The 13,901-nt window shown below is 36.1% G+C and overlaps 1 protein-coding gene across 3 annotated transcripts in view, besides 1 other annotated feature; it reads right to left on the reverse strand.

Moving 5' to 3' along the window:
• ADAMTS3 (ADAM metallopeptidase with thrombospondin type 1 motif 3) overlaps positions 1-13,901 on the reverse strand; it is a 288,253-nt gene that overhangs the window by 214,775 nt on the left and 59,577 nt on the right. The gene's annotated exons all lie outside the window — the stretch shown is intronic.
• Positions 9,609-9,903: an enhancer, noted in NCBI's record as "tiled region #5509; HepG2 Activating non-DNase unmatched - State 13:Ctcf, and K562 Activating DNase matched - State 12:CtcfO". NCBI's record gives its function as "activates a minimal TATA promoter and a strong SV40 promoter by Sharpr-MPRA in HepG2 and K562 cells {active_cell/tissue: HepG2 | K562}" and the evidence as "EXISTENCE:reporter gene assay evidence [ECO:0000049][PMID:27701403]".

Genomic DNA, 13,901 nt, shown 5'->3' on the forward strand with positions numbered 1-13,901 from the left:
GCTGCCAACCCAGATCTTTAGAACATTACAAACAATTTTGGAAAAGGACACTTTTTGGAATATATATTTAAGCCTGGTTAAAAGATAGAACCATAATACAAACCTACTATACAGCAAGGACTTTGCACAGAAGCAAATTAACACACTATTTGCTAACTCAATACAGCACTATTTCTGGTCTACATCTTTCCATGTAAGCAATCTTGTCAACTACAAATGTACTATGTACCTACTATGTGCCAGTCACTATAAAGTGTTAGATATCAAAAATGACTATAATGGGAGAGCTTTTTTATTTTTTCCATTTAATCTTTTGAAATGAGTTGTAAATCTGTAAAGAAAATTATTAGACTTTTCTCAGTTGTAGCTCCTGCAAACATGGCATAAGAATGGTGCTTACTTAATCTTACAGAGGAAATCTTCAATCTACAGAGTTGGCAAAATAAGCAGATAAAATCTGGAATGATTAACACGTCATCACAGCAGTAGTTCTTGTGTGGTTTTCTAGTCATACCTTCAAATGTAATAAATTAAGTGTTCCTACTTTGGGCTTTCTCTTGCTGAAAGCAGTATTGTTCACTCAAGTCAAGTGTTCATTTTAGAGATGTTTTACCAGTGTAAAATAACTCCATCTTGTGGATTATCCTGACCATGGCATTCAGATCTCACCTTTCTTCTTTAATTTTTTAAAGGTAAGACTAGCATCAGCCTGATCCTTTCCAACCTCTGTAATCTGTCTTGTTTCCTACTGGATATTAATCTTCACAAGCATCCCGCTATATGGCATAGGTATATAAAAGTGTCTGCCACTCCTAGTATCATCAATCCTATGACCACTATGGAGCTTAGATTTTCCAGCCCACCAGGACCAATACAGCTTAGTGTCAGAAGCCATCGATTATACTGTCCCTATTCATTTTAATTCCATTGAAATATCTAGGAGGGAAGATAGTAAACATAGTAAGGAAGGCTCTTTGAACGGCTGGGATATAAGAGAGTGGTAATCCAATGGCCTCCTCACTTTACATGGACTTTTGTCCTTTTGTACACCTGTCTCCTGTTTGCTTTCTGAAGATGATAATTATAATTCTGTATATTTCAACTCAAATACACTTAAAACTGACTTATAAAAATAAACATTCAGCCGCACATCAAGAAAAATCCTCCATTTTGATACCATATTTTTGAAGTTCAAAATTTAAAGGAACTTCTTCTCTCTCACCCACTTTGCACAATAACAATTCTAACATCCAATATTTCTTCCAGGTGTCATTCCAGGTCCCCCCTTTGGAAGCTGCCAGAGGCTTTAATCTAAAGCACACTCTGCTTGTGTAAAGGGAAGTTATCAGATGTTTAATATATCCACTAATTAATAGAATATTTTTTTCCTATATAATCCACAAATTTATGATGGAAGGAAGGATAAAGCTGTTGGAAGTATTTTATCTTAAGAACAAATGCAAATGTACTTTATTCTATCACTTAAGGTTACAGAAATCTCTATTCTGGAAATGCATATACAGACACTACCACAAAATCCAGAATATATTTTATATCGTGATCAAAAATGCAGGATAAGCAAGGCCTCAGTATGCAGTAGAATTAGCACATTATTTTCTATTTTAATATGTCACTACTTCTGTTCTACAGAATGTAACTATAAACATACTCTTTTGGAGAACTTGTAAAACATTTTCCTATCTATTGCTTACATTTTTATGGAAATGGTATAACTGAAGAGACATCAAGGAGAGTCTTTTAGTACATATTATGTTAAATATTAAAAATATTTTATCAAAACATAGCCCATAAAATTATTAACCCAGAAGAATATCATAAAATATTAGCTCAGTTTTTTAAGGAAAGTATATTTTTATACTCTAAATATATCATAAGATTTACAGATATTCAAAGATCTGAAACTAAAGCCCTAATATTTAAAATATAACAAAGCTGCCTCCAAAAAAATCTCAACTTTTCTTGTTATAGATTAATGATTATCATCAGAAAAAAAGTCTATTTACATTAACATAAAAACTGACCAGCCTAATTTTAACTTCATCCAAAAGTTTGTCTCAATAATTTGAACAAATAAAAAATTAAAAACTTATTTCTGAATTCACATCGCTAAAGATAAGTCAGTTATCTGTGCCTCAAGGACTTTTTCTCAGCTCAGTTAAAAGATAAAAAGATTTGTTTTTCATGCTTGAGGCTTTCAAAGGCTATGGCAATTTGTAAAATGTCAATATCCACTGAAATTTGGCCCTTAGCTCTCTAAATTCTCTCTTTGTACATGCAGATGCTTCTGCAGATAATTGTGACTACTTTCAGGCATAACTAAAAAGACCAGTATATAACTAAGTGTTTTCCGTATAACATATTAAGTAAAATGTGTCCTTTGTCTTAGAGAGCGAACACTATATATTGAGGCTGGCAATATTTATCATTTTGCTCAAAAGTAAGCACTCTACGATTTCTGCACCGCATTCTGGTCTAACAACTCCTTATAACTTTTTAAGCCATCTATAGTGCTTTTAGGAATTGAAATCAGATTTCCCAGCATCCCTGCCATTGTATCAATGACATCACGAGCTCTACTCACAGTAATGTAAAAAAAAAGACATCAGAACTCAAACCATCTTATATTGAGAGTAATAGAAGTCATAAAAAGAGTTTTACTAGAAAAGCCTGTAAAAAAAAGAATTTGTTTTCAGAAGAAAAAGTACATGAATGAGAATACAACTTTCAAGGTAATAAAGAATGAAACTACAGTTTGGGCATACCTACTAAATCACATTCATCAGAGGATATTAATGTATTCCAAACAAAAGCAAGAAAAACAGAACATTCTACCTCACCCTGAAATATTCAATATTCCCTCTCTCTCTCTCACTCTCTCTCTCTTTCTCACACGCACACACACACGCACACACACGTTTATTAATATGTGAGATGTGTGTAGAACTAAAATATTCTTGGAGCATCTAGGATTCACTTCCAAAGTTTCTTTTCTCTTTAACTTCCCCATAAAGCTGTCTCATAGTTTCAGTAATAACAGAATTCTTGGCCACATTGGTAAAAGAGTGGTTCAGAAGTAAATAATCTGAATGTTCATTGTTCCAATACTTCAAGTCCATGCCTTTGAACTGATTACACATAATTCTTCCATCTCTGACACTATTTATAAGCTAATATAAAATCACCTATAACAGGGTTGTCAAGATTATGGTCCACAGACCACTTGCATCATAATCATACGGAATATTTGATAAAACTAGAATCTTCAGCCCCTACAAGACCTACCAAATTCAAATCTCTAAAAGTCAGCCCAGAAATGTGTATTTTAGCAAGCACCCCATGTGAGACTCATACCAAAGGAAGTTTGAGAATCACAGATCTGGAATCTGAAAGGTCTGTAAACAAATTCAGAAGACATCTTCCATTGTTTTGTCTACAGTCTGTGAAATGCAATAAGAAATTTCTTCCCATTATTAAAGTATAATAAGAATCTATGTTTAAAAATCTATTCACAAAAGTAAGCGCAAGCTTTAGATACTTGTTAACAGCACTGTACATGTTTTTAATTATAGTAAATCAAGTCCTGGATCAGAAGCTAAACAGTACATCAGAAGGAAAAGCTTATTTCAGCAGGATAATCTCCTCCTACAGGTGGACAAGATTATTTATACAAGTCAATATAAATTCCACTAAAAAATGATGCGAGAACATACCTCTTAGTCTAAAAAGTGGTAAACTACATTTATTAACAACCAAAAATCAACTTCCTATATTACACCGACCTATGTACTTGCCATATGTTGCACTCTACAACAATGTATCTTCGGGGGCTCAGGCATTTCTTTAAATTTTTCCATTTTTGATAATTTCAACTTTTATTTTAGATTCGGGAGTACATTTGCAGGTTTGTTACTTTGGTATATTGCATGATGCTGAGGTTTGAGGTACAATTGATCCCGTCACCCAGATACTGAGCACAATGCCCAATAGTTTTTCAACTTTTGCCATCCTTCCTAGCTCCCCACTGTAGTGGTCCCTCGGTGTCCATCATTCCCATCTTTATGTCCATGAGTACCTATTGTTGAGGTCACCCTTATAAGTAAGAACATGAGGTATTTCGTTTTCTGTTCCTGTGTTAATTTGTTTAGAACAATGGCCTCCAGCTGCATCTATATTCCTGCAAAGGATATGATTTCATTCCTTTTTATTGCTGCAAAGTATTCAATGGTGTATATGTACCACATTTTCTTTATCCAATCCACGACTGATGAACACTTAGATTGATTCCATGTCTTTGTTATTGTGAACAGTGCTGTAATGAACATACAAGTGCATGTGTCTTCTTGGTAGAATGATTTATTTTCTTTTGGATATATACCCAGTAATGAGACTGCTGGGTTGAATGGTAGTTTAAAGTTCTTTGAGATATTTCCAAACTGATTTCCATAGTGGCTGGACAAATTTGCATTCCCACTAACAGTGTATAAGCATTCCGTTTTCTCTGCAGCCTTGACAGCATCTGTTATTTTTTGACTTTTTAATAATAACCATTCTGACTGGTGTGAGATGGTATTTCCTTGTGGTTTTGATTTGCATCTCTCTGATGATTAGTGATATTGAGCATTTTTTCACGTTTGTTGGCATGTACATCTCTTTTGGAGAAGTGTCTGTTCATGTTCTTTGCCCATTTTTAAGTGGAGTTACTTGCTTTTTGCTTGTTCAGTTAAGTTCCCTATAGATTCTGGATATGAAATCTTTGTCAGATGCATAGTTTGCAAATACTTTTCCCATTCTGTAGGTTGTCTGTTTAATCTGTTGATAGTTTATTTTGCTGTACAGAAAAGCTCTTTAGTTTAATTATGTTCTCCTTGTCAGTTTTTGTTTTTGTTGCAATTGCTTTTGAAGACACAGTCACAAATTATTTTCCAAAGCTGGTATCGATTATGGTATTTCCCAGGTTTTCTTCAAGAATTCTTGTATTTTGAGGTCTTACATTTAAATCTTTAATCCATCTTGAGTTAATTTTTATATAAAGTGAAAGGTAGGAGTAGTTCCGTTCTTCTGCAAATGGCTAGCCAGCTATTCCAGCACCATTTATTAAATAGGGGGTCCTTTCCCTATTGCTTACTTTTGTTAAGTTTTTTAAAGATCAGATGGCTGTAGGCATGTGGCTTTATTTCTGAGTTCTCTATTTTGTTCCATTGGTCTATTTGTCTGTTTTTGTGCATGTACCATGCTGTTTTAGTTACTGTAGCCTTATTGTATAGTTTGAGGTCAGGTAATGTGAGGCCTCTGGCTTTGTTCTTTTTGCTTAGCATTGCTTTGACTATTTGAGCCTTTTTTTGTTTCTATATGAATTTTAAAATAGTTTTTTCAAATTCTGTGAAAAATGACATTGGTAGCTTGAGAGGACTCGCAATGTGTCTGTAAATTGCTTTGGACAGTATGGCCATTTTAACAATATTAATTCTTCCAATCCATGAGCATGAAATTTTTTTCAGTTTATTTGTGTCATCTATAATTTCTTTCAGCAGTATTTGATTGTTGTCCTTGTAGAGCTCTTTCACCTCTTTGGTTACATGTATTCCTAGGTATTTTATGTATATTTATTTAAGCTATTTTAAATGGGATTGTGTTCTTGATTTGGCTCGCAGCTTAAACATTATTGATATATAGAAATGCTACTAATTTTTATACATTGATTTTGTATCCTGAAACTTCATTGAAATCATTTGTCAGTACCAGCAGCTTTTTGACAGAGTCTTTAGGGTTTTTTTAGCTCTAGAATCATATCATGAGCAAAGAGAGATAATTTGACTCCTTCTCCTATTTGGATATCTTATTTCTTTCTCTTGCCTGATTTATCTGATAAGGACTCCCAGTACTATGTTGAATAGGAGTGGTGAGAGTTAGCTTCCTGTTCCTGTTCTCAAGGGGAATGCTTCCAGTTCTTGACTGCTTAGTATCGTTGTCTCCTATGGGTTGGTCATAGACAGTTATTAAAATTTTGAAGTATATTTCTTTAATGCTTAATTTCCTGAGGGTTTTTTTATCATACTGGGATGTTATCAATTTTATCAACAGCTCTTTCCACATCTATTGAGATGATCGTATGATTTTCTTTCTAATTCTGTTTATATGGTGAATCACCTTTTTTGATTTGTGTTTGTTGAACAAACCTCGCATCCCAGCAATGAAGCCTACTTGATCATGGTGCATTCACTTTTTGATGTGCTGCTGGATTTAGTTTGCTAGTATTTCCTTTTCAAGATTTTTGCATCTATGTTTAACAGAGATATTGGCCTATAGTTTTGTTTCTTTGTTATGTCTTTGCCAGGTTTTGGTATCAGGGTAATGCTGGCTTTATAGAATGAGTTAGGGAGGAGTTCCTCCTCCTCAATTTTTTGGAGTAGTTACAGTATGATTAGTGCCAGGTCTTTTTTGTACATCTTGTAGAATTTGGCTGTGAATCCATCTGGTCTGGGGCTTCTTTTTGGTGGTAAGTTTTTTATTGCTGATTGAATATTGGAACTTGATACCATTCTGTTCAAGGTTTCAATTTCTTCCTGATTCAATCTTGGAAGGTTGCGTGTTTCCAGGAATTTATTCATTTCCTCTAGATTTTCTAGTTTGTGTGTACATAGGTGTTCATAATAGTCTCTGAGAATCATTTGTATTCCTGTGGAATCAGTTGTAGTCACCTTTGCCATTTTTTATTGTGCTTATTTGGACTTTCTTGTTTTCACAGTTAATCTAAAGAGCAATCTATCAATCTTGTTTATTCTTTCAAACGCCTACTTCTGGTTGCTTTGATTCTTTGTGTGGATATTTGGGTCTCAATTTCATTCAGTTCTTTTCTGACTTAAGTGATTCCTGCTAGCTTTGGGATTTGTTTGTTCTTATTTTTCTAGTTCCCCTAAGTTCAATGTTAGATCATTAATTTGAGATCTTGCTAACTTCTTTTTATTATTATTACACTCTAAGTTCTGGGGTACATGTGCAGAACATGCAGTTTTGTTACATAGGTATACACTTGCCATTGAGGTTTGCTGCACCCATCAACCCATCACCTACATTAGGTACTCCTCCTAACGTTATCCCTCCCCTAGCCCGCCACCCACTGACAGGCTCTGGTGTGTGATGTTCCCCTCGGTAAGTGTTTGGCACTATAAACTTTCCTCTTAACACTACTTATGCTGTATCCTAGATATTTTTGGTATGTTGTGTCTCTATTTTCATTTATTTGAAAGGTTTTTTTTGTTTCTTTTGTTTTTGTTTTCTTGATGGAGTCTCACTCTGTTGCCCAGGCTAGAGTACAGTGTTGCAATCTCAGCTCACTGCAACCTTTCCCTCCCAGGTTCAAGCGATTCTCTGCCTCAGCCTCCCAAGTAGCTGGGATTACAGGTGCCCACCACCACGCTTGGCTAATTTTTTGTATTTTACTAGAGATGGGGTTTCACCATCTTGGCCAGGCTGGTCTTGAACTCCTGACCTTGTGATCCACCCACCTCAGCCTCCCAAAGTGCTGGGATTATAGCCGTGAGACACCACTCCCAGCCTTGACAGTATTTGTTTATTTCTGCCTTAATTTTATTGTTTACACAAAATTCATTCAAAAGCAAGTTGTTTAATTTCCATGTAACTTTGTGGTTTTGAGAGATTTTCTTGGTAATGATTTCTATTTTTATTCCACTGTGGTCTGAGATTATAGTTGGTATGACTTCAGTGTTTTTATTTTATTGAGACTGCTTTATGGCCAAGCATGTGGTCTATCTTGGAGTATTTTCCATGTGCAATTGAGAATATACATTCTATGGTTGATGGGTAAAGTATTCAGTAGATGTCTATCAGCTCCAATTGGTCAAGTGTTGAATTTAAGTCCAGAATTTCTTTGTTAGCTTTCTGCCTCAATGAGCTTTCTAAGGCTGTCAGTCAGTTGTTGAAATCCCTCAGTATTATTGTGTGACTGTCTACATTTCCTAACAGGTCTAGAAGTACTTTATGAATACAGGTCCTCCAATGTTGGATGTGTATATATTTAAGACTGTTAAGTCTTCTTGTTGAATTTAACCCTTTATCATTATGTAATATCCTTCTTTGTCCTTTTTTACTGTTGTTGGTTTAATGTCTGTTTCATCTAATATAAGAATACTTATCCCTGCTCTTTGTTGTGTTCTTTGTGCATAATAGATTTTTCTCCAACCCTTTATTTTGATATTATGGATGTCATTATGTGTGAGATAGGTCTCTTGAAGACAGCAGATGGATGGGTCTTGCTTTTTTATCCAAGTTGCCACTCTGCCATTTAAGTGGGATGTTTAGAACATTTACATTTTAATATTGATATGTGAGGTTTTGATGCTATCATGAAGTTGTTGACTGGTTGCTTTGTAGTTTCTACTGTTTGGTTGCTTTATTGGGTCTGTGGGCTATGTACATAAGTGTCTTTTTGTGGTAGCAGGTATTGTTTTATCATTTTCAAGATTTATTGTAAAGTTGGTCTAGTGGTAAATTCCCTTGGTACTTGCTTGTCTGAAAAAATATTTTATTTCTCTTTCATTTATAAAGCTTAGTTTGGTGAAATATGAAATTCTTGATTGGACTTCCTTGTCTTTAAGAAGGCCGAAAATAGGCCCTGATCTCTTCTGGCTCGTAAGGTTTCTGCTGAGACCACTGTTAGCCCAATAGAGTTCCTTTTGTACATGATCTGACCTTTTACTCTGGTTACATTTAATTTTTTTTCTTTAGCACTGGATTTGGACAGTCTGGTGACCATATGCCTTAGGGATGTTAGTTTTGTATAGTATTTCATAGGTGTTCTCTGGATTTCTTATACTTGGATATCTACCTCTCTAGGAAGGTTAGAAAAATTTTCTTAAATTTTTCATTCAAATATCTTTTACAGGTTGTTTTCTTTCTCTACCTCCTCTCAGAAACACCAATAATTTGTATGTTTGTATGCTTTACAAGATCCCATATTTCTCAAATGTTTTGTTCATTTATTTTAATTCTTTTTCTTTATTGTTAACTCACTGGATTAGTTCAAAAACCCAGTTTTCAATCTCTGAAAGTCCTTCTTCTTGGTAAAGCTACTTATAAAGTTTTCAATCATATTTTGAAATTTCTTAGGTGAGGTTTTCAATTCCAGAAGCTCTAATTGATTTCTTTTTAAGATGTTTATCTCTCCCTTCATTTCCCATATTGCTTTAGAAGATTTCTTTGTGTTGATTTTCAACCTTGACTTGGATCTTGTTGAGCTTCCTTGCAATCCACGTTTTACATTCTTTATCTGTCATTTGTGAGTTTCCATTTTGATTATGGACCATTGCTGGAGAGTTAGTGAGACCCTTTGGTGGTGTCACTACATTCGGATTTTTCATGGTGTCAGAATTCTTGTGCTAGTTCCTTATCATTTGGAGATGCTGGCAATTCTAATTTTTATAGTTATTTTCATGTGGGTAGGATTTTTTCTTTTTCTCTATAATACTGTTGTTTTGTTTCTTCTTTCCCTGTCTCTTTACCCTCTTCCCTAGAGTGTGTGACTGAAGAAAATGATGGGTAAGGTCTTTTGTCTTTGACCCTATAGCACTATGCACTTCTGTTGGTAGATTTTTTTACTGGGGTATGCAATTTGACCTATAAGTCAGTAGATGGCGCTTATGGGTAAGAGCCGGCTATGGCCAATAAGGCAGGGTATATGCTTGATCCTTGTTTACTGGTAAAAGCTGTCTGTTGCCCCAGGGAATGGGCTGACTCCTGGAAAGCACAGCAGTCCAAGCTCCCTCCTCAGCCCTGGAAGGAGACGGTAGAGGGGAAGGGCAAGATGGACAAATACACCTACAGGTCCCCTGATGGCAGGCACATGCACAAGTGCTAAGAGACAGTCCAGTGGGCAGCCACCAAGTACCCAGAGGTATAGGTAGGCATGAAACTGGGAAACCTCCTTAGCCCTGAGTTCCCTGCCTGGAGATGGCAGGGGGCAGCCTAGACTTCTAATCCTGGAAAGTGGACACTCCAGATGGCTGTAGGTCTGCCTGGGCATGGAGCAGAGAGGACCATCCTGCACCAGGATCTCTCTGCATAGGAAGTGTGAAGCAGCTCAGGCTGCTGTTCCAGGTGAGCAGGTGCTCCAAATGCTTGGAAATCTGCCTGGGTGTGGAGTGGAGATGGTGTCCCTGCACCAACATCTCTGAACAAAAAGAGTGGGGCAATTATGCCTGCAGAACCAGGCAAATGAGGGCTTCCAATGCATGGAGATCTGCCTGAGCATGAGGCAGAGAGGGCACCCCCATACCCAGATCTCTGCACAGAAAGATGCGGTGACTCAGGCTGTTAGTCTATGCTAGCAGTTGCTCCTAATTCTTGGAGATCTGCTTATGTATAGAGCAAAGAGGGCTCCACTGCACTACGATCTATGCACAGGAAAAGTGGGGTGGCTTAGGCTGCTGATCAAGGTGAAGGGATGCTCAAAAAGCCTGGAGATCTGCCTGGCTCTGGAACAGAGAAGACCCTGCTGCACAAAAATCTCAGGGGAACAGGCTGGGGCACCCAGCAATGGCACATGCAGACCAGATCCAGGTTGTCAAGCTGGCCCTGGCTGCAGGTCTCATCATTCAGAAGAACTGTGATTGGGGGAGGGCACAATTCCAGTGCCAACTGTTGAGGCACTTTCCAAAGTTCTGGCTGTGGTGACCCCTACCCTGCTCCAAAGCAAGCAGTTCAATTGCTGGCCCAAGACTAAAATGCCTACATGTCCATCATGCCAGCTCACCACAGAATGGCTGATTTTATATGAACTCAGGTTAAAAATTGTGTGCTGTTCTCAGTCCCACATCTAGGGAAATGCTTGCAGCTCTTTCTGGTATCTTTCCCTCACAGCATCTCTAAGCCTCTCCCTAAGTTACCTCCAGGACCTGGGAGAAACAGAGCGTTCTTCCTTGACCTGGGTTGCTCACATACCCAGTGGAAAAGTGTGTCACAGAGGGAGGTTCTCTGCTTCTCTCACATACTGGGGCTTCACTCACTTTTATCAGCCAGTCTCTGTCATGTGGCTGTTTGCCCACATTTTCCCCCACCAGGATCTGGGATGTCCTTCATGATTCCAGTGGATTCCCATTTTTCTTCCTGAATTAAAGTTCACAGAGTTGGTCTTTATGCACTATCTTGCTATTTCCAAGTGCCTGAAGCACACTAAAAGCCTCTAATCCACCTTCTTCTAAATTTTTTCTTTGAGGGGAGAAAAGAAGACTGTAGTGTACCACTCCATATATCAACAAGAATAGTGAATGAAGGAAAAAGTGGCAGAGATTATCTAAATGCAGTATATAAAATATGTATGTGTGAATGTGTATATCTGCATATATAAGTGTGTATAAATATAGTTTGAGACCACTCAGGCCTATTTTTTATTTTTACTTTTTAAAAAAGAACTACAAAGCACCATCACTGTCTGTGGCAGGTCCATTATATATGCCTGCCCAGCTTCCCTTCCTCTTCTTGTGACAACCACACCTTATGCCTCTTTCGGAGGGCAACCCCTGCTGAGTCTCAGCAGCTCTGATGAGCTGTTAGTTACTGTGCCTTGGTAACTCAATCCAAGATTGTACAATCAGAATCTGACTCCTGAGAATTTAAATCTAGATAAGGGCCATACGAAATAGCTGGAACCTAACCATTCCAATTTCCCAGGAACTATGTTTTGATTGTGAGTCCTCTCACTATCCCAGTTCTTGCTCTTGAAGCTTGGTTGCTTAAGTTTGCCTTCAATTTCTGTTAATTACCTAATATGTTTCTAGTATATTTCATTATTTCATGATGTTATCCAGATAGCATTTCTCTTGCCAGCAACCAAAAAACTCCAACTGATAAGAGAGACACATTTTGAGAACACACCTTGTTTCGGTACACTATTTGTAGGGCACTGTTTCTCAATGAGCATTTAAAGCACTATAAAAATCCCACCACTGCATCCATGAAACCCTTTCAGATTGTCATAAAATCAAGAGCCACTCTTGTGTTTATCCTGTTAGCCTAACAAAACCCTCCACAGGCTATCTGTCTATTTTCTAACTAAAGGTTTGAAATCTCCTGTTATGAATATCCAGTACACAGTCAAATGTCCTTTTTTGACTTGCATATTTAACGCCTTATTGCCTGTTTACTGCTTTACATTTATGCTGATTTATTAAGTCACATATGCCTCTATTAACATCAAGTATGTCATTTTTACCTTAGAATATATGCAAGTAAAATGCATAATAACATGGACTGTGCAAAATTATCATTCACCATAACAATAATATGCATAGTTACATGCACAATTCAAAACCACATCTCTGAAGGGCAATAAACAAACACATGCACATTGTAAAATATTCATAAGTCATTAAAGTAAAACATAGAAGTCCCCCTAAACACACATTTCCACTGACCCTGCAAATCTCCTCTCTATAAATTACAGCTAACAGTTGGGGTGTTACATTTGTCTCAGTACCTCAGCAATGACTCACTCATAGCAATAGTTCTTTAGAGGCCTATAAGCAGACTGAATGGAAGAGTTAAAATGGGTTAGTGGTTAAAATCTCCCACCAATAACCTAAAAAATTGAGAGTTATTTTTATCTTACTTTTCTAAGATATTTTTCAAGGTAATTGGAGAAAACAATGAGTATGGTCATATTTTACATTAGGAAGATGAGTCAAAAAAGGATTTAAATGAGTTTCTGATTTAAATACGTTTCATTTCCTTAATAAGTTTTTCCAAGAAAAAGAAGAGTTAGAGAAAAGAATTTGAATTTTCGAAGGAATGTTTTTACAAATATCATCTGGCTGATTCAATCATAAACAAGAGTAATTTCATAATACCAATATTGAATCAGTCATAGCTATTCATTATTACATTCTATAAGAATTTCTTAGGAGGAATACTATTTTGGCATAATTTGAGTTAACAAAAAATACGTACTGTATAATTTTTTTACCAAGTTAAATATGAGCCAAGACTTGATCTACACTATAGACCAAATGGATCTAATAAATATTTACAGAACATTTCATCCAAGAGCTGTAGAATACACATTCTTTTACTATGCCCATGGATAGACCATATGTTAGGTCAAAAAGCAAGTTTTAAACATTCAAAAAAATTGAAATAATATCAAGCATCTTCTCTAACCACAATGGAATAAAACTAGAAATTAATAACAAGTGGAATTCTAGAAATTATACAAATACATAGAAACTAAACAATATGCTCCTGAATGACCAGTGGGTCAATAAAGAAATTGAGAAGGAAATTGAAAAATTTCTTGAAACAAATGATAATGGAAACATGACGTATTAAAACCTTTGAGATACACAAAAGCAGAACTAAGAGGGAAATTTATAGCTATAAGTGTCTACATCAAAAAAGAGAAAAAATTTTAAATAAACAATCTAATGATGCATCTTAAAGAACTAGAAATGCAAGAGCAAAGCAAACCCAAAATTAGTAGAAGAAAAAAAAAATAAAGGTCGGACCAGAAATAAATGAAATTGAAATTTAAAAGAAAAAATACAAAAGATCAACGAAACAAAAAATTGGGTTTTTGAAAAGTCAAACAAAATGAATGAATCTTTAGCCAAACTAAGAAGAGAGGAGATCCAAATAAATAAAATCAGAAATGAAAAACAGACATTACAACAAATAGTGCAGAAATTCAAAGGATCATTAATGGCTGCCATGAGCAACTATGTGCCAATAAATTGGAAAAACTAGAAAAATGGGCAAATTCCTAGATACATACAACCTACCAAGATTGAACCACGAAGAAATCCAAAATCTGAACAAACCAATAACAAGTAACAAGATTGAAGCCATAATGAAAACTCTCCCAGTAAAGAAAA

Source organism: Homo sapiens, chromosome 4 (assembly GCF_000001405.40).
Source record: "Homo sapiens chromosome 4, GRCh38.p14 Primary Assembly".
NCBI classification, from domain to species: domain Eukaryota; kingdom Metazoa; phylum Chordata; class Mammalia; order Primates; family Hominidae; genus Homo; species Homo sapiens.